This window comes from Homo sapiens, chromosome 18 (assembly GCF_000001405.40).
Source record: "Homo sapiens chromosome 18, GRCh38.p14 Primary Assembly".
Taxonomy (NCBI): domain Eukaryota; kingdom Metazoa; phylum Chordata; class Mammalia; order Primates; family Hominidae; genus Homo; species Homo sapiens.
The window spans coordinates 22,675,753-22,701,130 of record NC_000018.10 but is presented as its reverse complement, the minus strand read 5'-3'; the positions used below and the strand labels follow the sequence as shown (position 1 = coordinate 22,701,130).

General features: G+C 41.5%; 1 long non-coding RNA gene across 1 annotated transcript; it reads right to left on the bottom strand.

The window, feature by feature from the left end:
* Nucleotides 1-307: 307 nt before the first annotated feature.
* LOC124904264 (uncharacterized) lies at nucleotides 308-6,000 on the bottom strand. Its single transcript, XR_007066309.1, has 2 exons — nucleotides 5,939-6,000; nucleotides 308-4,914 (listed from the first exon to the last, which is right to left on the bottom strand). It is a non-coding gene; the product is annotated as an uncharacterized LOC124904264 (long non-coding RNA).
* Between the last annotated feature and the right edge of the window lie 19,378 nt (nucleotides 6,001-25,378).

Sequence of the window (25,378 nt, the reverse complement as noted above, 5' to 3'; positions counted from 1 at the left end):
GGAAATAAATAATAAGGAAAAATAATAATGAAGAATAAATAATAAGGAATAATATTATAACGGAAGGTTTCAAATAATAAACAGAATATTAACAAGTGTATATACTTAATGTCAAGGTAAAGTATTCATTTTTTACCCAACAGGAAATGACTCTGCTCAAAATATTTATTTCATCTGCTTATTACAGTTTGCTTTTAGGCAAAAAACTATTAGTTTGAGTGAAAGGACATGATTTATACTACTGTCCTTGGTTACCCTGAAGATTTAAATGTTATGTCAACTTTTCAACATTCAAAGCAGAAAAAAATTCAAGGATCAAATTAATTTTTATTAAGGAGGATTAATGGTTGTTTTCAGCTCCAATGTCACCATCCACCTTAGCCAAACAATTAAAAATAGAGTCTGGGAAGGGCAGGGGAAGGGAGAGATCAGGATACACAATTATGGGTAGAGGAGAAGAGTAAGTTCTAGTGTTCTGTACCACTGTAGGATGACTATCGTTAACTACAGCACTATAGTTACCACTATACCACTATAGGGTGACTATAGTCAAATGGCTAGAAGGAGAATATTGCTGCTTCCAACATGAAGAAATGATAAATCTTTGGGATGTTGGATATGCTAATTACCCTGATCTGATCACTGTACATTACATGTATGAAAACATCCCTATGTATCCCATGAGTATGTGCAATAATTATTTGGCTGTTAATAAAATAAGTTTAAAAAAAACCCCAAAGTAAGAAGTACCCATATGTTAGCTTGTTGAAATATTACAACCGTGTTTTTGGCATTTCAAGTGACAGCTATGTACAAGTTTGTGCAAAGAAATGTTGCCCAGCTTCATGTTCTGGTAGAAGCCCTCAAATCTGTGATTTGGATGGACAGATGAGAATCTTATACAAGCCATGCAATAGGGCAAAGGAGGGGAGACATGGGACCCACTATATATGTGTGGTAGGCAGAATAACATTCTGATGTGCGTGTCCTAATCCCCAGACCTGCGAATATGTTACCCTCCGTGGAAAAGGGGACTTTGCAAACGTGATTAAGTTAAGGATCTTGAGATCAGGGAGACTATCCTGGTGGGCTCAGTGTAATCACCAAAATCCTTATCAGTGGGAGGCAACAAAGTCAAAATCGGAAGAGGGAAGTGTGATAACAGAAACAGTGGTTGCCGTGTTGTACTTTAAAGATGGAGGGAGGGGCCACGTGGAAGGAACGTGGGAGGAGGTACCTGGAAACTCATAAAGCCGGAAACAGATTATCCCCTGGAGCCTCCAGAAGGAATGCAGCCCTGCCCACACCTTGCTTTTAGCTCAGCAAGACCCATTTTAGACTTCGACCTCCAGAACACTAAGATGATAAACGTGTTGTTTTCAGCTATTAACTTGGGGGTGATTTGTTACAGCAGCAATAGGAAACGAATACCTATGTGACCCAAATTTCCTTTCTTCTTCTTCAAAGACTCCTAAGAGTTAATACGAAGTAGAAAGAGAAGTTGGAGTTAAGCAGCTCGTTCCAGTTCTGATTTTGCCATTTCCTGTCTGAGTGACCTGAGTAAGTTATTTAAACTTCTTTGGCCCTAACTGTCTTCATCAGGAAAAGAGGCTGTGGTAAGAGTTAAAGATGGTAAAATGACAAAATGCCCAACATAAGGCCTGGATGATTATCTTCAAGATAGACCTTCAAGAAAGGTTACTCCCATTCTCCACCAGCCTGCTGAAGGTTTATTGCATAAAAGTGGTCTACTTGGCAGTTTCTACCTTGTGTTAGAAGCCCCCGGAGCCTTCTGGGCAGATGCCCATCCTGGTCTCTCAGCCTTAGTCAAGGGTAGCTGAGACATGGTGTCCAAACCTGTAAGCTAAGAAGAGCTGAGCGATGCTCCCCGAGGTAGGATTTGTAGTCTTACCGTCATCTTGTATGTTCATAGCATACCTTGTGAACTTCTGGCCTTTCCTGTCGCACTTTGTCTGTGACCCAGGGATGGTACTATCTCACACCTGGTGGCACTGTGAAGAAGGTGAGAAGCCCAGGTGTTCACAGATGGGGCACGATTACACTTGGTAGCAGCTGCCTGGATTTTGCAGATTAAATCCTGAACTTGTGGGCTCCATGGCTCAGGTAGTGCAAGCCATTGCCTGTTTGTTGGTCCAGGTCCTGAGTAAGCCCTTATTTGTTAGCAAATAAGAGGACCACATTTCCAGGCATGGGCTCAGGTGGCCTGGAGAGGATGAATCACTTTATGAAGCTGTTTTCACTAGAGAATATGGAGCAATCCCAGATAGGCAGGATTTGGTTTTCAAAACACATTTGAAAAGATAACCCTTAAGAAATGAAGGTAGTTTCTTTGCTTATACTTGAAATCTCATAACCCAGGGTGAGGCACAAGAAGGACAAATCTTTGCTGGTAAGTTTATTCAGGTGGAACTGTTAAAGTTTGTCCCTTGCCGTTATGTGGATTTTGAAGAAAATTGGTCTTTGCCACATTGTTTCCTCCAGTTTTTATTTTTGCTTTGTTTTGTATAAATGTATGAGGTAGAAATGCAGTTTTGTTTCATGCATAGATTGTGTAGTGGTGAAGGCTTTTAGGGTGTTCATCACCCAAATAATGTACATCGTACCCATTAAGTAATTTCTCATCATCCACGCCACCCACTCTCTAATCTTAAAAAATTTGTCTTAGTCATTTTTAGAAGATTGGAAGAACAGAATTCAGTGCCGTAATCAATATGGATTACTACATCTGAGTGTCCTGAATCCACATCTTAAATCGAGTACACTCTACCCTCAACAATGTTAATTTGACCTGTATTTAATAATCTGTATAATTGCTGTTGCTCTGTATGGTAATTAGGCATAAATGGTAAGCAGTTTCTATAAATTCCTGTAATTGTTATTACTTGTGTTACTACCAAGCCTTATTTTTATGACTTTTTTGCTTCGAATTTCTTAGCTCAGGATGATGTATAAAGTGTCGTTATCACAGTTTAGATTAATTTAAGTTTCATCAAATACAGTGTAAATTCTGGTCCTCCAAGAAGCAGATGCCAGGATGTGCATCGATGTGCACAAGAAACACCTGTGAAGGATAAAGGGGAGGGGGCAGCGAGAGTCGTCAGACCCAGATGCAGCCTCACACCTGCAGAGGAGACGGGAACAAAGGAAGATTGGATAGGAAGGGTCCCAGACTCTAGAGCAGTTTCAAGAAAGCTTTGGCCAGGCCTCTGGGATGTCCTCGAGCCCAGGCACCTATTAGAGGAGCCCTGATTCTCACAGGAGTGGGCCTGCACTCACTCCCTGCTGTGCTTGGGGTTGATTGGGAGCAAATTGCTGGCAGCATGGCTTAGGTTTTGACATAGCCACAGCGGTGGACCCAGCAGGGCAGTGGCTGAGGTCGTCAGTCAACTCTGCCCCCCACAGCAGAAGAGCTGCATGGTGCATTTTCATGGCCACCCCACTCTTTCTCCACCCATACACACTGGCACATATTAAAAAGCAAGGATTTTTTGCTGTGCAGAAGCTCTTTAGTTTAATTCAGTCTCACCTATTTATCTTTGTTTTTGTTGCATTTGCTTTTGGGTCCTTGGTCATGAAGTCTTTGCCTAAGCCAATGTCTAGAAGGGTTTTTCTGATGTTATCTTCTAGAATTTTTATAGTTTCAGGTCTTAGATTTTAAGTGCTTGATCCATCTTGAGTTGATTTTTGTATAAGGTGAGAGATGAGGATAAGACTACAAATTGGGTGCAGTGTACACTGCTTGGGTGAAGGGTGCACCAAAATCTCAGAAATCACCACTAAGGAACTTACTCATGGAACCAAACACCACCTGTTTTCCAAAAACCTATGGAAATAAAAAAATTAACATAAAAATAATACACTTAAAAAAAAACAAAGCAAAGATCTGTGCAGCCAGCACCTGGGGCCATGTTTCCAGACTCCCTGTCCATTTTCCAAGACCTAAGGTGTTCTGGGTCACCCTTCAGGGGTTTCCTGCCAGAGTTCTTCCTGGGCTGTGTATTCTGCCTTTTTCTGTTGCCAGAGAAAAAGATGGGGCCCAGATTGCTGGTTCTGGAAGGATTTCTAGCACAAGGATCCAGTCTGCCTATGGATGAAAGGGGAGAGAGGCTGAGAGAGCACACTGGACTCTTGGGCCCTGGGAGCTGGGGATTGCAGAAGGGATTTGGTAGGCCCAGAGTCTGTGATGGGGATAAAAGCTGTGGTTGGAAGAGGCAGATGGACCACTTACCAGGACCAGACCACCAGCAGTCACAGAGGGTGGGCTTGTCATGCCTGGGGAATACAGGAAACTGGGAGAGAGACACCAGGTCCATCTCTTCTGATCTCTGCCCAGGCAACCTTATGTGACCAACGCATGCTCCTCTCAGGCAGCCCAAGTGTCCACTGTCATATCACCAGACCACTCCCCAGCTGCCAGCTGATGTCTAAACTCCTTTAACTGGTATAAAGCCTTTCATTCTACCATTTGGAAGTTTTAGAATAGTTCTCTAGTTTACTACATGAGGGTCTGTTGTCCAGTAGGTAGGTGTGTCTGTCCCCTCTATAGACTGGGAGCTCTTTTAGTGCAGAGACTATGTCTTTTTCCTCTTTCAGTTTCCTCACCTAAAAGATCCCTGGTACAAAGTCAATTCTCCATAAGTTTTTGTTGACTAGAATGGAAGCGAATAAATGCAGATGCTTCTGTGAGAGGTAGCATAGCAACCAAGATGAAATCCCGTAAAAGCAGATCAATAGGAGAGTGCAAAACTGTGGACATTCACGTGTCCTGAATTCACATCTCAACTGCAGCATACTCCGTCTATGGAAACATAGATGAATCTCTTAGTCTTTCTGCATTTAAATTTCCTTCATATAAAATGAGGCCAAGTACCCGCTCAGATAACTTCAGCATTCCTGCAAATATCAAATGATAAAGAAAGGACTTTGAAAATGTAAGAGTGTTGAATAAAGGTATATTATTTTTTATTGTTCTGTGAGGGCTTAGGGGTTAAAGGGAGCCAGTGCTTGGAGCCGATACAGGGAGAGGTTTTAAGGGATCCCCAACGTTACCTGGGCATGGAGGCATTTCAGGCCATACAGCAATGAAATTGCCAGTTGCAGGGAATTCTAGATTGTTTTTTAAAACTGTGACTGTACTATACAAAACATGAAGTAATCCATGGCTCACATCTCAATAAGCAATTCCCCTCGAGGCTGTTAGGCTTTCTATAAACAGAAATAAATTATATTCACTCAAGACATTGCCTTAATAGTAAAATCGTATAAACAACATAGCCACCCCTTTATTGTGGGTGAGTAGTGATTGACTGATGTAACCTACTCTTGTTTAGCCCTTTATGGCTTTCCAAATATCGTAATGTACATTACCATTTTGATTTCTCAAAATGCTTGTGGAAAAGGAAAAGAATAAAGAGTTTTCATGCCATCTCACCACTTATTAATTTAGAGCTCTTAAAGGAATTCTGCAACAAAAAATTGGATCGTGATTAAAAGTTTGAAGTCAGATAGACCTGGTTTAATCCCAGGCTTTGCATGTGCTAGCTGTGTGGCCATAGGTAAGTAAGTAACCTATCTTAGCCAAGTTTCTTATTCTTCAAAATAAAAGGTTTAACTATTGCTTAAGTGTTTTCTAGATAAATGCAATAGCCCCATATTGAGATTTCAAAGAGGGAAAAGGACTTTGAATGTGGGATGAGCCCCGAGAACTTCCCTATGTAGCGCTGACACTCAGATGAGCTGAAGTGAGGCATGTGGAATTCTCAGCGCAGAGATTGTCACGTACTAAGCATTCAATATTGGGCTTAGGAATCAGTCATTTACAAAGTGTTTTTGCATATTTCATTCAATCCTCCCAAAGACTCCATAAAGCTTCCCTTTACAAATGAAGAAACTAAAGCCCAGGGAATTCATGACTCACCAGTTACAAGGCCAGTCAAATGTCGGAGGCCCTGTCCGCGATGAGCACTGCCTGTCTGAGTCAGGGAAACTTGCCACCGCCAGTGGTTATTAAGAAAAGTGGGAGGGACCCAGCAATGTGGATTACCACTAAAGAGCGAGAAGATGCAGTCTGCTGCCGTAGCATGAGTAGAGTCAAATGGCAAAGACCTTAGTTTCTGTTTTCTCTTTTCTTCAGCTTCAGTGAAAAGATCTATGAACTGAGAGTATTTCTAAGATCTCTGTAAATTTCCCAAAACCCTGATAGTTGGTAATTTGAGGCAGGCATGAGTATCAGGATTAGAAATTAGAGAAAACAAATCCTGTTGCTTAGATGATATTTTGAGTACCATTTAAGCATATTTATTTCCCATTATAGAAGTTATATTATTATATTACCAAAAATTTGAAAAATGATATAGGACCTATAATATTGGTGACAATACAGGTGATTCCATTTTCCTGGCACAATTTCTATTATCCTCTCAAAACATTTGAGATTCCTTCACCCTACCCTCCTTGTCTTTTAGTGGGTGTGATCCTACCATTGTTTTAAACCCAGCGTTATACTCTGGAAGGTGTTTTTGTATAGCAGTGACAGAGGATTCTCTTTGTTGGTTTGGAGGAGCTTGAAGTTTATGTTAACATATGTGCAAATGTGCAAATATACAGGGCAAGGTAATTCAGATGTGGGAGGCTTCATGGTACCACCAGAAAATGGGCATCAGGGGCGGCTGGGAGGTGAGGAGTCATGAAAAGGAGGTGCCTCTGGAGTTCGGTTCGGGATCACTTTCAAAGGCAGGCACAAACCCCATCCACATGGGCGATAACGTGGTGACATGAGAAGCCATGAGCCCTGAATACAAGATAAGATCGGTATGAGAGGTTAAGAGAAAGAATATGGAAGAAAAGAAATTATAGAATTTACTCTGCTTCTTGAAAGCAAAGAAAATACAAAATAATATTTTAAGTCAATGAAAGCCATGGAAGATAGGGAATACATGGTTAGGAAGGAATGAATGCAGGCATGGTCATTTGTTCACTCACTCACTCATTCATTCATCTATCCAGAAAGAATTTTTGAATACCTGCTATATATTTAGCATGTCCCCAGAGTCTTCTTTTTTGGGAGTAAATGATGGCGCAGTCTCCAATGGTAGGAGAGGTATCTAGGTGAGGAGGCAATACAAACCCACTCAGTGATTGGGGGAAGCTTAAACAGCAACCTGTGCACAAATTCAAGAAAGCCTGGAGTCATCTTTGCTGGGAGCCATGAAGAGAAATGATGGATGACAGGCAGGAAGGTGTGAATTTCAAATGTGCTGACAGTTGGCCGAAGGTGTCTGTGTGTGGAGTTCATGTCAACTGCATGCTCAGCAAAACATCTTATTGTCAATGGCCCTGGGAAAATGGTCTCTTGTTAGCATCTTTCAATGACAACTACATGAAGGAGTCACTTGAATTTTTCCCTTGTCTAGATGTAGTGACTTGTGACCTAAGGAGTGCTAGTGAGTAGACAGTTATGGCAAACCTAGTTTCACCAAAGGAAGAATCCTCATTCTTTGCCCTAAAAGCTTGCTAGTTATGATGGAATGAATGAATGTAACACTAGCAGAATGCCGGAAGTCTTTAAGATGCCTGGACTGCAGGACCAGAAGCTCAGAATTCTGGGGGTCATAAACGTTTGACTTCTTCAGCGGAGATGGTTACATATGTTTTATTCATAAGACCCGTTGTCCACATTAGGTTATGGTGTTGAGAAGGGTCAACAAGCCTAGAAATATGTATTGTTCAATTCAGTAAATACCTATTGAATTGAATCAAGGCAGAATAGAAGTGTTTCCAGGTGCCTTGTCTTCTCCAAATGACTTTTTTTGTGTGCCTAGTAAGAGAATACTTGAGTTGACATCATGCCAAGTTTCAACCGTTGGTCATATATTTTCTAGATAAATGACTCTCGCTCCCCCTTTGGATTTCAGAGAGGAAAGACTCTCAAATTTGGGATGGGGCCCCAAGGACCTTCTTAAGTAGCGTTGACAAGTCTCCAGATGGGTTAAGGATATTCCTGATGTTAGGCACTGAGAAGTCTAGCCCCACAGTGTGCGCACACACTACCAAATCTTAGAAGACCATTTGTTAACAATATATTTTCATTATATTTTTAAGATTCTTCTTGGGTGGCCAGAATTTTAGCCATCAGCTGTAGGCTGGGATTGGGTGATAAAAACTCCATGCCTTCAATATTAAAACAGAGATTGGAGTCAAAAGAGGATCCATTCATCCTAGTCCCATTCCCTCCCCCTACTCCCTACTCACATGTTTTTATTGCACTCATGATCGCTAGTACTATTTACATTTTAAAGGCCAGTGGGATTTGAAGGCCTGTGCCTATCCATATTCTATATATTGGTACTGGGAGCTTATGTTAGATTTGAATTTTCTTACAAATAAGGCCAGCTGTCTCTGGGTCTGTAATGCTCTTTTAGGATCTTGGGGAAAAAAGGAGCCAGGCTGATATGAAGATTACTCAGCTCCCTTCCCCACCCACAGACATCTCTACCCATTCACTGAATGATTTGCAAGTGAGCTATGAAGAGAACTTCCCCGCCAGAGGTCTTAAACTATACATAAGGATATTTTGCAAGAGCAGCAGAACAGAAACAAGTTCAAAAGGACAGAGGAAAAATGCTCCAAATCTGTGGCAAACAGGATTTCACTGAAATTTACAGGATTCTTTGGATATGCCTTTGATTCATGCACTTATTTCCCAACACTTTGAAACTATTTCAAGTAGTATTAAAATAAATAAAAACTTTTCTCTGTAATGAAAAATTTAAAATGTCTACTTTTATAGACAAATTGAAAAATGACTATTGCTTAAGTTTGTTTTCTTAAGCTGAGTGTTTTTTTAATTGGGGGGATGGTTATAAGAAACTACATTCTCTCTTTCGCTCAACAATAAATGAAAAACACACTTTGTGATTTAGCCAAAGGAAGTTAAAGATGAATCTTTAGGGAGAGGAAGTCATGCAACTGTTATCATGTTAATCTTCCACTGTAAGAGTGGGGCTAAGAGCCAGATTTGCTGTTTATAGCAAATGAACAGAACTTGAATGGTTAAAGAAATCCTCCAGTTCTCAGATCTGGTGCCTGTAAGCCAGCTTGACATGTTTTCTAGTGTCCTTCTCCTTCACACATACTAAATACTTGAAGTGACTAGAGATGAAAGTTGGGTTATTAGATATGAAATGCCTCCTCATTTATTCCTCTTCAGTAAATGTCTCTGTGTAATCATGACCATAAGCCACCACGAAATTGCATTTCTATGTTAGTTTTACTGGACAATTCTCTCTTCTTAGTCTCTGCCTCAATTTTCTAATCTATTAATGGGAACAATGAAAGGCAAATGGAAGGGGGCATGTGATGACTTTAGTTTGGCATGGAAGCAGGGATGTGGATTAAGTGGTAGGAAAGACCTTTCCCATTTTCTATTTAATTCTAAGCTTCGTTATTTGTTTGAGTGTCTTTGAAATTCCTCTTTCATTGGGTCTCAGTTTCTTTCTTTGAGTTGAGTTCAATACCTTAGCTTAGTGATGATAATGTAAGAATACTTTTTTAATGGTTGAATTATCCTAAGATGAAAGGCATGATTAATAAAGAAGAGAGTAATTTGGGGGAACACTAAGAGAGATGATGGCATATTGGAAGAAAGTAGTCTGGGAGGCTAGCATTCTAGTTTCTACTAGTAACTTGCAGTGAGTTTTCAGTAGATCTCTCAATGGCTCCAAATTGGTTTTCTCAAAGTGACATGATAAAGTTATAGCAAATGACCTCTAAGAGCCTTGAAAGATTCAATTGAATTGGCATTATTCTGCCTTCCAGCTCTTGGTTCACCATAATTTTGTTTTTTGATTCATTCAGCAGATGTCCACTAAATGTGTACCATGTGTCAGGCCTGTTCTAGTAGGTAGAGATTCTGCAGTGAACAAAACTGACAAAGGTCATCTCCTATGGAGCTTACAGTCTAGTGTGCATAGATAATCAGTATAGAAACAAATGTATATGTCAGTGGCAAGAGATGTTATGGAGAAAACAAAGCACTGTATTTGAATAGGGGCTGGCAGTGATGGGGAAGGCAGAACTCTCCTATTTAGGGTGGTCAGGGAAGGTCTCTTTCATAAGGTACCATTTGGACAGGGTCTTTAAGGAAGTGAGGAGTCAGGGCCTGCAGATACCTGGGAGAAGAAAAATCTAGGTGAAAGGAATAGCAGGTACAAAAGTCCTAAGATGGGAATATGCTATATTTGTTCAAGGATTAGCAAAGATGACGGTGGCAGGATCTGAGTGAGTAATAAGAGTGACAGAAGATGAGCTTAGAGAAATGTGGTGGGCCAGGGCAGATTGGGGCAGTCATAGAAAGACTTCCAGCTGTTTCTGTGAGTGAGAAGGGAAGCCACTGGAGGGCTTGGAGCAGAGGGGTGACATGACTTGATGTGCTTTTAAAAGCATCACTCAGCAGCTGTGTTGAGGACAGACTAGTGAAGGAAAGGCAAAAACAGTGAGACCAGTTGGGAGGCTCTACCAGCAATGACAACTGGGGTCAGGGTGGGAGTGATACAGTTGATGGAGGTGATGAGAAGTGACTGAACCTTGGATATATTTTGAAAGTAGAGTCAACAGGATTTACTGATAGATTGAAATGCAGTGAGAGAGAGAGAAAGAAATGTCAGGGATGATGCCAGTGTTTTGTGTTGGGCAACTGGAAGATTGGGCTAGCTATTTTTTTGAGAGGCAGAAGACTGCAGAAGGAGCAGGTTTTGGATGGAAGGAAAATCAAGAGTTCATTTTCAGGCATGTTAAGTTTGAGATGTCTGTTAGGCATCCAGGTGGAGATGTCAAGATGTTAGTTTGTCAAATCTGGAGTTCAGGAGAACACTTCAGGCTGGATGTATACAATTTCAGAATTGTCATTGTATTGATTTAATTTAAAGCCACGGACTAGATGAGAACACCTAGATCCTAGGCCAGTCGTTCTTAACCTTGGCTATGTATTGGAATCATCATGAGAGCTTAAAAAATGCATGGATGACTGGCCCTCATCCTAGACCAATTAGATTGTAACTCTGGGGGAGGGAGGGTCAGTTCCAGGCACTGGAAATTTTAAAAGCTCTCCAAGTCAGTCTAAGATAAACCAGGGTTGAAAATCACTGACCTACAGAGTGAGTGTGAATGGAGAAAGGAAGAGTCCTGCTTCCTGCTTCCTGCTCCCTGCAGTGTTTAGAGATCAGGAAGTTGGGAGGAACCAGCAAAGGAGACTGAGTAGGAGCCAGCAGTGAGGTAGCAGGAGAGTGCTGCATTGCAGCAGTGAGGTAGCAGGACAGTGTTGTGTCCCAGAAGTCCAATGAAGAAACTGTTTTGAGAAGGTGTGAGTGATTGTTAGTGTAAAATATTGCTCAGAGATTAAGCTATGGCATGGGAAGAGATCACTAGGTTAGGTAATGTGGAGGTCACTGGTGACCTTGACAGGAGCAGTTTTGATGGCATGGGAGTGAAGCCTGCTCCTATTGTTTTAGAGAGAATGGGAGGAGTGGAATTGGAAACAGGGAATAGGGGTACAGACAAATGAGGTAGGAGTGGGTTTGGGAGGCTGAAGAGACAAGGGAAAGTGATATAGTTTCGGTGTTTGTCCCCTCCAAATCTCATGTCTAAATGTAATCTTCAATGTTGGAGGTAGGGCCTGGTGGGGTGTTTGGGTCATAGGGATGGATCCTTCATGAATAGCTTGGTGCCCTCCTCCTGTTAATGAGTGAGTTCTTGCTCTGAGTTCATGTGAGATTTGGTTGTGTAACAGAGTGTGGCACCTACCCACTGCTTGCTCTCTCTTTTTCCATGTGATATGCCAGCTTCCCTCTCTGCCTCCAGCCATGACTGTAAGTTTCCTGAGGCCCTCACCAGAAGCCGAGCAGATGTTGGTGCCATGCTTATACAGCCTGAAGAACTGTGAGCTGATTAAATTTATTTTCTTTATAAATTACCCAGCCTCAGGTGTTTCTTTTGTTTTGAAACAGAGTCTCGTTCTGTCACCCAGGCTGGAGTACAGTGGCGCAATCTTGGCTCACTGCAACCTCCACCTCCCACATTCAAGCGATTCTCCTGTCTCATACCCCCAAGTAGCTGGGATTACAGTGTGCACCACCACACCTGGCTAAATTTTGTAATTTTAGTAGAGACAGGGTTTTGCTATGTTGGCCAGGCTGGTCTTAAACTTCTGACCTGAAGTGATCTGCCTGCCTCAGCCTCCCAAAGTGCTGGGAGTACACGAATGATCCACTGTGCCCAGCTAGGTATTTCTTTACAGCAACGCAAATGGCCTAACACGAAAAATTGGTACTGAGGTATGGGGTGTTGCTATAACAATACCTGAAAATGTGGAAGTGGGTTCATAACTGGGTAACAGGCAGAGCCTGGAAGATTTTGAAGGGGTCATCAGAAGACAGGAAGATGAGGGAAGGTTTGGAACTTCTTAGAGACTGATTAAATGGTTGTGACTAAAATGCTGATAGAAATATGGATGGTGAAGGCCGGGCTGACATGGTCTCAGATGGAAAGGAGGAATTTATAGGAACTGGAGCAAAGGTTACTCATATTATGCCCTAGCAAAGAACCTGGCTGCATAGTGTCCATGCTAGGGCTTTGTGGAAGTTTGAACTTGAGAGCAATGACCTAGGGTATCTGGTGGAGAAAATTTCTAAGCAGCAAAGTGTTCAAGAGGTGGTTTGGCTGCTGCTAACAACCTACAATCAAACATTGGAGCAAAGGAATGACTTAGAGTTGGAATTTATAATTACAAGGGAAGCACAGCATAGTTTGGAAAATTTGCAGCCTGGCCCTTTGGTAGAGAAGAAATTCGAGGGGCTATGGAACAACCACTTGCTAGAGACATTAACGTGACTGAAAGGGGGCCAGGTGTAAATAACCAAGAAAATGGGAAAAAGGCCTTGAAGGTTGTTCAGAGATCTTCAAGGCAGCCCCCTTACATCACAGGCTCAGAGGCCTAGGAGGAAAGAATGTTTTTGGGGGCCAGGCCTGGGGCCCAGCTGCCCTGTGCAGCTTTGAGGCATTGCTTCCTGCATCCCCACTGCTCTGGCTCCAACTGTGGCTCAGAGGGTCCCAAATCAGTTCCAGCCACTGCTTTGGAGAGCACAAGCTGCCATAAGCCCTTGGCATCTTCCATGTGGTATTAAGTCTGCAGGCACATGGAATGCAAGAGTGAAGGAGGCTTGGCAGCTTCCACCTAGATTTCAGAGGATGAATGGGAAAGCTTGGGTGCCTAAGCAGAAGTTTGCTGCAGGGGCAGAATTTACACAAAGAGATTACTAGGGCAGTGCTGAGAGGAAATGTGGAGTTGGAACCTCCACACAGAGTTCCCCCCAGGGCACTGCCTACTGGAGCTGTGGAAAGGGGGCTGCAGCCCTCCAGGCCCCAGGATGGTAAAGCCACTGGCAACTTGTACCCTGAGCCTGGAAAAGCTCCAGGCATCAGACTGTAACCAATGAGAGTAACCATGGGGGCTGTACCCTGCAAAATCACAGGGGCTGAGCTGCCCAAGGCCTTGGGAGCCCACCACTTGTACTTCAATATCCACCCAGGGATATGGAAGGGAGACATGGAGTCAAAGGAGATTATTTTGGAACTTTAAGATTTAATGACTGTGCTGCTGGGTTTCAGACTTGCGTGGGGCCTGTTGCCCCTTTCTTTTGGCCAATGTCTCCCTTTTGGAATGGGAATGTTTACCCAATGCCTGTATCACCATTATATCTTGGAAGTAAATAACTTGTTCTTGATTTTACAGGTTCATAGGTGGAAAGAAGTTGTCTTTAGTCTCAAAGGAGACTTTGGACTTTTGAGTGGATGCTGGGATGAGTTAAGATATTGAGAGACTATTGGGAAGTGATGACTGTATTTTGCAGTGTGAGAAGAACATGAGATTTGGGGGACCAGGGTTGGAATGATGAAGTTTGGATGTTTGTCCCCTCCAAATCGCATGTTGCAGTATAATCCCCAATGTTGGAGGTGGGGCCTGGTTGCAGTTGTTCGGGTCATGGGTGGCAGATCCCTCATGAATGGATTGGTCCCTCAAGGTAATGAGTGAGTTCTTGCTCTGAGTTGATGCAAGATCTGATTGTTTAAAACATGGGTCCCCAACCCGTGGGCCAGGGACTAGTACCAATCCATGGCCTGTTAGGAACCAGGTTGCACAGCAGGAGGTGAGCGGTGGGCAAGCAAGTGAAGCTTCATCTGTATTTACAGCCACTCCCCATCACCTGTGTTATAGCCTGAGCTCCACCTCCTGTCAGATCAGCAGGGGCATTAGATGCTCTCTATCGTGAACTGTGCAGTGAAGGATCTAGGTTGCATGCTCCTTATGAGAATCTAATGCCTGATGATCTGTCACTGTCTCCCATCACCCCCAGATGGGACTGTCTAGTTGCAGGAAAACAAGCTCTGGGCACCCACTGAGTCTACATTATGATGAATTGTATAATTATGTCATTATATATTACAATGTAATAATAGAAATAAGGTGCACAATACATGTAATATACCTGAGTAATTCCAAAACCATCCCCCGACCCTGGTCTTTGGAAAAATTGTCTTCCATGAAACTGGTCTCTGGTGCCAATAAGGTTGGGAACCACTGGTTTAAAAGAATGTGGCACCTCTCCTGCCTTGCTCCCTCTTTTGCCATGTGATACACTATCTTCCCCCTTTGCCTTCTGCCACGATCATAAGCTTGCCGAAGCCCTCACCAGAAGCCAAGCAAAGGTTGGTGTCATGCTTACGTAGCCTGCAGAAATGAGAGCTGATTAAAGCCTTTATCTTTATAAATTACCCAGCCTCAGGTATTTCTTCATAGCACCACAAATAGCCTAACATAGCTTTTTAAGATGAGAGATGTTATTTTTGAATGGTGACCATCAGAGAAAGAAAAACCGATGATGCAGGAGAGAGGTGACAATGGCAAGAGTAGATTCCCTGAGAAGTCCTGAGGAAGTGAGATCCAGGGCACAAGTGAGATCCAGTGCACGGTGAGGGGGTTGGTGTTAGATTGGTTCATCCTCTTTGGCAGCAAAGAACATAGACTATGTGGGCACAAATGTGGATAAACTGGTGGATTTGGCAATAGGAGTGTGTGGAAGTTCTTTTTATTCCATGTGTTTGGACTTCTGTACTTGGAGATTTGGAACATGCTAGATTAGTAGGCCACATAGAGCCTTGAGAATATGATGCTTGTAGCCTCTGGAGGTATACAAATAGCCATGTTAGAGAAACAGAAAGTGAAAAGGTGCTACAGTAATATAACCTACCATCACAGAATTATTTGAAAACAGGTTTTAACTCCGGGTGTGGTGGCTCACACCTGTAATTGCAGCACTTTGGGAGGCCGAGGCAGGTGGATCACTTGAGGCCAGGAGTTTGAGACCAGCCTGGCCAACATGGCAAAACCCCGTCTCTACTAAAAGTACAAAATTAAGCTGGGTGTGATGACACATGCCTGTAATTCCAGCTATTCAGGAGGCTGAGGCAGGATAATTGCTTGAACCCAGGAGGCAGAGGTTGCAGTGAGTTGAGATCATGCCACTGCACTCCAGCCTGGGTGACAAGAGCGAAACTCTGTCTCAAAAAAAACCCCAAAAAACACAACAAAACAGGTTTTAGAAGAACCACCATTAAAGGGGAAATGTTTTTAAGCATGTTGTTAAATGAAAAAAGTATGTTTCCCAATGTTATGTATACCAATGGTATACTATTGTATGTTCCAAATTTAAAAATGCATATGTGTATTTACATGTAGAAAAGATAGCAAAATGTTTTCTGTTCCATCTGGATAGTGTGACTCTTGGTAACTTTTCTTCTTTGTGTTTTTCAATATATTAACTTTATAAAATACGTGTGTATTTAGAAAAAATAAATTATATAAAATAGGTTATTTTCAAAGCAAAAATACAAAAATAGAATTATTTTTTCCACTGCAGAGTTGTTCACAATGGAAGTATAAAATTAAAGAATATGACCTTATGGATTTACAATGACTTTATGCCTGGAAGAAAATCTACCCATAGATTCTGGCTTGGCTTATTCATGGAAAATATTTGATGACTAAAGTAGGACCGAGCTCAGTTACCTGTCATCTCAGAGAGGAATTACAACCAAATCTGCCATAAATCAAACTCTGAATCGTAACTGGGGATTGAATTTTTTGTTTGTTTGTTGATATAAAATGTTTGGTGTAGTTGTTACCTTAGCCAGCCAAGGGCATGTTTCCACTTCCTCTTATTACTATGGATTTCAGATTTTATTTTTATTTTTTGAGACACGGTCTTGCTCTGTCGCCCAGGCTAGAGTGCAGTGGCACTACCTCAGCTCACTGCAACCTTCAGCTCCCTGCAACCTCTGCCTCCACGGCTCAAAGGATCCTCCTCCCTCAGCCTTTCAAGTAGCTGGGACTACAGGCATGTGCCACCATCCCCGGCTAATGAGATTTTTTCTGATGTTCTCTCTCCTATGTTCACTTTAGCACTGATTATGACATTGCTTCTGGACTAATTAGGCCACCACAAATAAGAGACTGAGTCTCTCAATTTCATCATCTTTGTTAGTAAAATGGGGCTCACACTCTGAACTGACCTCTCAAGGTTATGTTATGAAGCAAGAGTAGATGTATCAGTCATTGTGGCTCACTGGTTTTTAGGTGTCATTGGTCTTTGGTGACCTAATGCTTGTAAACAATGAACAGTTCTGCCCAGGATAGGATCTAATTGATTCTATAATAGAACGCAAATAAAGTACAAGAGTGTGAAATAGACATGAGAAAGTTTGGAGGACAATATGGAAAGAGAAACCTTTGGAGAACTGACTGGGGAAAAAGTACTTACAGTGGATAAAGTATGACTATTTGGCCGGCACAGGGTAAAGACAGAGAAGGAAGAATAATGGTGACCTCCAATAAAATGAATTATGTTCTCCCTTGTCCCTTCTGTGGGATCAGAAAAGGTTATAGACCTAGTATCACACACTTAAACATTTTAAGTAAGCAGTCAAGTGATGGCATGGGGCCATGGATCCTTCAAAGATGGCACCTGTAATAAATCATAGGCCAATGGTGTGGAGACTGACTGCAGCCAGTAGTGAGGCAGCACTTTATGGATGACATCAAACGGGACAGCAGGGCAATGCTAAGGCCTGACTCAAGAGCCAGCATGCTCCTCCAAGGAAGGGTGCAAGTTCAACTTTGGTTTCTCTCATAGAGTTAACTTAGAAAATTCGGTGCAAATGTAATATTGGACACATAGGTACTATGTAATATATCCCATCAGCTATATGCACATACTTTATAATAGATTCTGTAAGGTTAGAGGGCTGAGCAAAAGGGAAGATTTGGAGATATTGCTATCTTGAGATAAATATTAGTGAATAAAAGGGCTCGGGAGTAGTGAGCTCTGCAGTGCATGCAGTCATCAAAGTTGATTGTGGTGTGTGGCTGCCAGCAGACCTCTCACACTAGCAGGTGCCAGGCACGGAGTGCACCGCTCCCTCAGACATTGACCCCGTGTTAGGGAATATGCTGACGTGTTCTGTTTACTCTAGGAACGAACAGGGAGGCTAATGCTCCACTACTCGAGGAGCAGCCCACGTACCATAAAGGTTTTATAGCTGTTCAAGATAGACTTCAGGTTCATTCTTTCCAGATTCATTCACAGGGAGGGAGGAGGAAAGGGAGGGGATGGTAACAGTAGAGCAATGTTTAACTCAACAGATTCCAATGTCTCAGTGGTGAAGATGATCAAACCCCCTACCTCCCCACCCTGTTGGCTCCACAAACAGAAAACGTCAAGAGTGGGCAACCTGCCAGATGTTCCAGCCAGCGGCTGAATTGAAACAGACCTGCCCTGGGAAGGGAGGGAAAGAAGCACAGCCAAGGAAATTTAAGAAGGAAAAAATGGCAAACTACCCCAAACCTTTGCTGCTGACCCATCTAAGTGTTGGTTAATGTGCAAATTCGAATAGAACTGAAATGTTATTGTTATTTGTATTATTGTAATTCTGTTAGCAAAAATTTTATTATGTGTCAGACACCAGGCTAAGCATTTAAATGCACTTTATCATCTGTTCCCCTCTACTCTGTGAGCTAGGTTCTATTATTGTGCCCATTTTATAGAAGAGGAAACTGAGGTTGAATAATGTGCTATTTAGTGGAGGAGGTGGGATTTGAAGGAAGGTCTGTTATGTGTGAATAAAACTTTATGAGTGTGGTATCAGGGAACAATGTCACACTGAAGTTGTTTTAAGCTGCAGATCTTCAGGATGGAAAGAAGCCAATCCTTTGCTACTGTGTACTTTGCAAAAATTATTTTATGTTTTCCTACAGAGTAGATAATAAGTTTCCTGTTTTAAAGTGGAATCACGAATGAAATTTAGGTTTGCCTGATCCCATAGTTTCCCTGTTTCATGTGACCTGACTGGGAAGAAGTGGAGGTGGAAGGAAATCTCCATTTTTGGTAAAAATGCTGGCGTGATGCATGCCAGAGAGCGGTCCCATTCCCAGATAGTTCAAATTTACATGGTAAGCAGGACTTTCAAATCCCTCCCCATCATTACTGATGAGAAATACTGCTTGATTTGAGGTTCACTTTTCAATTTGAATTTGAAGTTCAGTTTTCTTGATGCTGCTATTAAGCAATAAAAATCATACCTAGAAAAGAAAGAATACAAAGCCTCTTTTTAATTTGTTATTTGTTTTACAGTTTACAAAGCACTTCCTTAATGTAGCAATGGCTCTGCCTGTCCCCTTTGATAATTCTGACTCCATTTTTGTTCAATGAGGAAAGCCAAAGCCAATTCATAAATGTTTATCTCATTGTAATTATAGCAGCCACTACCATTATCAGGGGCTTTAACGCCCTGCACAGCACCCCATGGAGTGGACAGCTTCTTCTGACCAGCAAGGAAATTGAGCTTCAGAGTGTTTCAGTGGCTTGCCAAGGGCATAAAGCTAATAAGTGAAAAAGCCAGGACTCATCAAGCTTGACCGGTGTTCTTTCTCCTACATTACACCAGTTTTCCCCTGGAGGGCCAAAGCAAGAAGGCTGGATAAGGAGCCTCTTGATAAATGAGAGTTGGCTGGAGAAGGGAGGCCCTTAAGGATCACACTGCTCTCCTTCCCAGCTTTTACATATATTGAGAGAGCAAGTGACATGTTTACATTAGTTCTTTCAACAAATTCTTATTTGAATATTGAAAACATTTCCCCCCAGTTTCTAATTCTTGGGTCCTACTGACTGGTTTCCCTGCAGACATGTTTCAGTAACAAAAAGTGAAGGAAATGTGGCAAATTAGAGAAGAGAGAAGAAATAAAAAGACAGCAAGCAAATTCATATAAGCAAGTGAATTACAGTGAAGAGTCTAGAGAAAGGAATTACATTTATACTTTACACAGGGCAAAAACCTGGGCTCAGAGAGATGAGAGAACTTACCAAGTGAATGAAATACAGGTAAGTGTTCTTTTGGGCACTTGACATCCTTAGTTACCCTCAATATAGCTTCTAAACAAGAATCCAAGGTTCCAGCCATTTAAATGTGTACTTGGGAATAAAGTTTACAAATTCCAATGAACTTTCATTGTCCTTGTCCCTCTCTAACGACATACATCTTAATGACTTATATACCTCCCTGACCCTGAAGTCACTGCTCCTCCATTCCCTATAGCTGGAAATACTTCACCTTTTCATGTAAGATCAGTGCCATTCCAGATGCTTAGACCAGTTAGGATTTTGATAAAAGCAAATAAATAAGATAACTCCTTGATTCATGGGTCCACATTGCCTTGTGGGTGGTTCCTCTAGTGTTTGCTTGACTTCTGGATATTAAAACCAAGTTCTCTCCCTGTTCCTCATTTCACCAGGTCCTCTAACTGACCCATTTATTGCCTTTTGTTAAATGCTGACTTTTCAAAATAACACCAAAAACAAAAAACTGAGTTTATTCTTGTTGCAGTAAAAGAGCATGACTTGGACAGAGTCTTAGTAGTGTCTTAAAGTGGAGAGGGCAAAGTCAGGATCTGACTGCAGTCAAGGATTACACAAAGGTGTAAAGACCTAGAAAATGTGGATCATGGGTGGCCAAATTGGAGTTCCTCAGTATACCAAGGAAAATGAATGGTCTTGTTACTAGAGCAATAGGTTGGGATTCCCTAAGTCGGTAACACAATATCAAGTAAGTTTTTAAATTTGCAATTATTAGAGCCATCTTTCTCCTGCAAGGAAAGGGCTCCACCCCTCCCAAGAATAAGCAAGCAATAAGTAGGACACATAACAAATCCACTGCCAGAACAGATGTATGAAATCCATTTGGAGCTATTCAAAGGGGCTCTAAGCATTGGCCCTAAGATTAACTGTTGTTAATCTCTTACTGTGCCTAATTTGTAATTTAAATTTCATCATATGTATGTATGTATAGGAAAAAACATAGTATATATATAGGGTTTGGTGGTATCCAAGGTGTCAGGCATCCACTGGGATCTTGGAACATATCCCCTACAGATAAAGGAGGACTACTCTACTGGGGAATAGTAAAGTTATGTTAATATAGCCAGTGATCCGTGGGGATTTAGATGATTTTGCTTCTAGAGTCCCACTGGTAGTCAATGTTCAGCCTGAGCTGGGCATTTGATTAGTCTGGAGGTGGATGTTTCAACCACCACAATTATCAGGTTTTCTGTTCTTTTTGAGGGATGATTTGATGGAAATCACAAGTAAGATCCCTGGCCTGGTGATCTGATAGTGGTTATACAACAGCATTTAAGACCCTGGACATCACGCCTCTAAACGCTGTAATGCAGATTAGAATTCATCATCCTTTTCTCAGCTAGGAGCCTAGTGTGGCCAAGTTAAACCAAGAGAATGGATTCTATCCCCAGTCCGAAGAGCACACAGAACCAGGAATGGGGAATTAGCCAGATGGTCTAAATTTATGCTTCTTTATTTGCTCTCTAGTCATTTTAGATAATATTAAAAATTATGAGAGGTCTGGAAGGATGTAAGCACAACATTCTTCCCCTAAATAGTACTGTGTCCTTTCAGAAAGTCAATATTGTGTCTAAAGTGGCTCTATTCTGATTTACCATCTGTCCAATTTTATGATCCTTCTAGGCAAGGAGTCCCATGGCCATGGTGGCATTGTATAACTCTTTTGCATTCTCTGAACCATGGCATCCAGGATTCTCCCTGTTTTTTGAGCCTTTCAGAAAAATATAAAGTGAAGGAGCATGAGGAAAGAAGAAAATTCAAAATTCCCCCTTAAGAGTTAGGGCTTTGGTTCTGAAATCATGGCTGAGTTTTCTTCCTAAAATCTGTGACCTAACGACCATTCCTAGAGGGTAAATTGATGGGCAAAAATGGATCCTAGGTAATCTCACTATCTTCAAAACATGCATCTATTTACCAAGGTACCAAAACCCTGTCCAATTCGTAGGTAGCAGTCTGAGGCTTTTATGCTGAAAATTCTATACCAGTCATTGGGAATCACTTATGAACTATCTTTGGCCTAAACAGCACCATAGGATTGAAAAATTGCATTGTAGCATTTTAGCACTACTCATCAAGAATGATACAGTGCCAGGCAATGAAATTTGGAATACTGAGAGAGTTGGTAGCTCTAAAGCAAAAGTGAAGTAGCGTGTCTTACCTGCGTCATCAGTGAAAGTGGTTCAGCCTCCAAGAATATTGCATCTCTTTCCTAGTTCTCTTCCAAGTTCTATTTATTTGAAAGTTCATTTACAAAAGCTCCAGGCTTCAGGTCATAGAAGTGCTATTTAGGATGATGTTGAGGAAAGGCTGCTCATACCTATTAATCATAATACTGGGGGTACTGCATGAGTTCCCTGGGATATTTGGCTTGTCGGTTTGTGATAGCATGGAATCTAGAATCAGAGATGATAATCCTAGATGCATGGGCTGACCAGTTACTGATTCATAAGGGGAGAGTTGATAACCCCCAGGAGGAATTGATCTCACTGTCATTAAAGCCAATGGCAATATCTTAGGTGATGAAAGATTGAGAATCTATGAAAAATTTGCTAATTTGTGTTTTAAAATTCGATCTGCCCTTTCTTCCTTTCTTGATGATTGGGGCTGATATTGATAGTAGAGTTTCTGAGTAAGTGAGAATACTCTGCAAAGCTTTTAAATAATAGTCACAGTGTATAAGTTTTCTTGCTGCACAAGTCACCAGAAACCTAGTGACTTAAAAGCACCTGCATTTATTCTTGCTGTTTCCATGGGTCAGTAGCCTAAGCATGGCTTGCGTTGTCCTATGCTCAGGGTTTCTTAAGGCTGAAATGAAGGTGTTGTCCCAGTTGCATTCTCATGTAAGGGCTCTATTAAGGGAGAACCTGTTTCTTAGCTCACACCATTTATTGGAAGAATTCATTTCCTTGTGGTTGTAAGACTGAAGGCTCCAGCTTCTTGCTAGCTGTTGGCTGGAGGCCACCCTTGGCTGCTATTAGTTGCCTGCAGATCCTAGATGCAGCCTCAGTTCCTTACCTCAGGGGCTTTCCTGAAATGAGTGCTTCATGAAGCCAGGAAAGAGTCTTCAGAGTGTCTTCTAGCAAGACAAGTAATTTATAAAACTAACATAAGCACGGGAGCAATAGCCCATCACCTTTGGCATACTGTGTTAGTTAGAAGCAAGTCACAGGTCCTGACTGCAGTCAAGGATCACACAGAGGCATAAAGACCAACAAATGTGGATCCTGGGTGGCCAAATTGGAGTCTGTCCAATATACCAAGGAAGATGAATGGTCTTGTTACTAGAGCAATAGTTTGGAATTCCCTAAGTTGGTAATACAATATCAAGTAAGTTTTTAAATTTGCAATTATTAGAGCCATGTTTCTCCAGCAAGGAAAGGGCTCAACTCATCCCAAGAATAAGCAAATAATAAGTAGGACACATTACAAATCCACTGCAAGAGCAGATATATGAAACCCTTTTGGAGCTATTCAAAGGGATTCTAAGCACTGGGCTCTTGTCCATGTCTGACCTGAACAGTTTTGTCAGAATCAGTCTAGTGGCAGGTAATATATGCACCAGAAATACCCTCAGAAGTTTTAGTGAAGTTTTCTCACCAAGAAGTTTAGTGGCCAGTTTGTCCTTGCTAATTTGTCTTTGCAGTGGTGGGTATTTTCATGTAAAATTTTTGCAAGATTCCATTTGAAGTTCTTCGGGACTAAACAGCCATCCTTAAAGCCTCGGAGATTATCCTCGTGCAGTTTACATCTGGATTTCTCCTAGTACGACTTTTCTGAACCTGGAGCCGATCACTGACATTCTATAAAAGCCTCTTTGAATTTCTCTAGCAATAGAATCTATTGGATTATCATTAGGGCTAGGATCTAAGTGAGTGCTGACTGTCTGGAACAAAGAGCTGTAGTATACCCATTTGTTTGAGCTCCTGTCTTTATATCTCCTTAAGAAACATTAGAACATGCAAAAATTCTTTAATTCTGCTGACCAATCTGAACTGGAGTTCCTGTTGGGGTCAAGAACCCTTGTTTACAAAACATCACCAAATATGACTACCTTCCAAAATGTATATCTCTATTATCAGTGGAAATTATCCTTTCATTTCTAGTTAACTGATAGGCTCTGGCACATGCAGTAAGTTCTTCAATCTGGACAGATTTTGCTTTTGGTAAGGGGTGATATTCTTACCTTCTATTTTGCAGTATCACTATTAAGATGTGATCCATCAGCAACTAGGATTAAGTCTGGATTTCCTAAAGCATTTTCTAATAAATCCACTCAGGGCATAGAGAGTTTGTGAACAGAGATTAAACAATCATGAGTTTCTTCTGTTTTGGGTAATTAATGAAAAGTAACAGGATTTTAAAGTACTATGATGATAAATGGAAATATATTAAGGAGAAAATAAGGATTCACACAACACAAGTCTTCCTGCTGAGAAGTGTTGTGTATTTCCAGTGAACAGCAAAGACTGTAGGGGATGAGGGCCCATTAAATTTAAAGGAGATCCTAAGACCAAGCTGGAAGATGCCTTCACTTGTGTAGCTGCTGTGGCTGTTGACAAGGCGGGTAGGCTCTTGTTAGACTACCAAGGGCTTGTTCAGATCTCTCAGGTACAAATGAGTAGAAAGAGTGGGAGGTTGTTGGAGTGCTGATAATTCACAAAAGATCTATTCATGTTCAGTGTCCCAGGGAAGAGGTTTGGTATTTGAGAACTTTGTCATATAGTGGAGTGGCAAATAGAAAAGCTGAGAACCCATTGCATTTGGGGCAAGGACTGGAGAATCTTCTTAATTGTCTCTGGCCCAGTAAAGTTTTGAGTGGCCTGTAGTTGGTTAAGAGTAAGGGATTTTCTTCCTTGCAATAACAACTTTTAGTTGTTATGTAAAGGAGCAGATGGTAAATACCTTAGACTTTCAGGGGCATAAAGTCTCTTTCGCAACTATTCAATTCAGTTGCACTTTATGGTAACCATAAACAATAAATAATGAATCAGTATGGCTGTGTCCAACAAAATTTTATTTACAAAAGTAGGCAGCAGGTTGGATTTGCTTAGTGGCTATAGTTTGCCAACTCCCGTCCTAAGTAATGAAGTTACTTTGGCAACATTTTGTATTTGGAAACTTTATGCCTTTACTGAGCTAAAACAGTTATTAGATAGATGAAGTTAGTCTTAGCATTCACCCTCTTTGGGAACACACCAAAAGTTCATCTACATATTGTATAAGAAAACCACAGGGAAAAGTAAGGTCCTTGTGATCCTGATTGAGGATTTATGAAAGGTAGTATGTGCCTCAGTGCATTCCTGGGGCATAACAACAGTCCAGGTATATTGTTAATTTTTCTTAGAGAAGGCAAACAAGCATTGACTATTTTAATCTAAAAGGACACCAAAAAATGGAAAACACAGATCTACAGTTGTATAACTTACAGTCTCAGGAGGCTAACATAAAATGGTATTGCATGTGCTCCTGCAGGGTCGCCTTGAATGTCTGTTTTATTTGTGGCCCTGAGGTCCTGATGAATTCATCTCCTTGCCTATTGGTATTTTTGATTGGGAGAATAGGAATGTTCCAAGGACCAGGATAAAGTATAATGATTCCTTTATCTATGAGGGCTTTCTAGGATACATTTTAGCTTTTCTTCAGCTTCTCATTCAAGCAGTGTGTTTAGTACAAATTTTTGGAGAAATAGGTTAAGATGGATCTTGGGCTGTGGTGGTAAGAATGTCTAGATTGGATTTTGATGGGTCTCCAATATTGTCAAGTGCTAGATCCCTAAAAATATCCCCAAGACAACTTAAAAATAAGATAAAGCTGAATATGTCCCGCTAGTCCGGTAA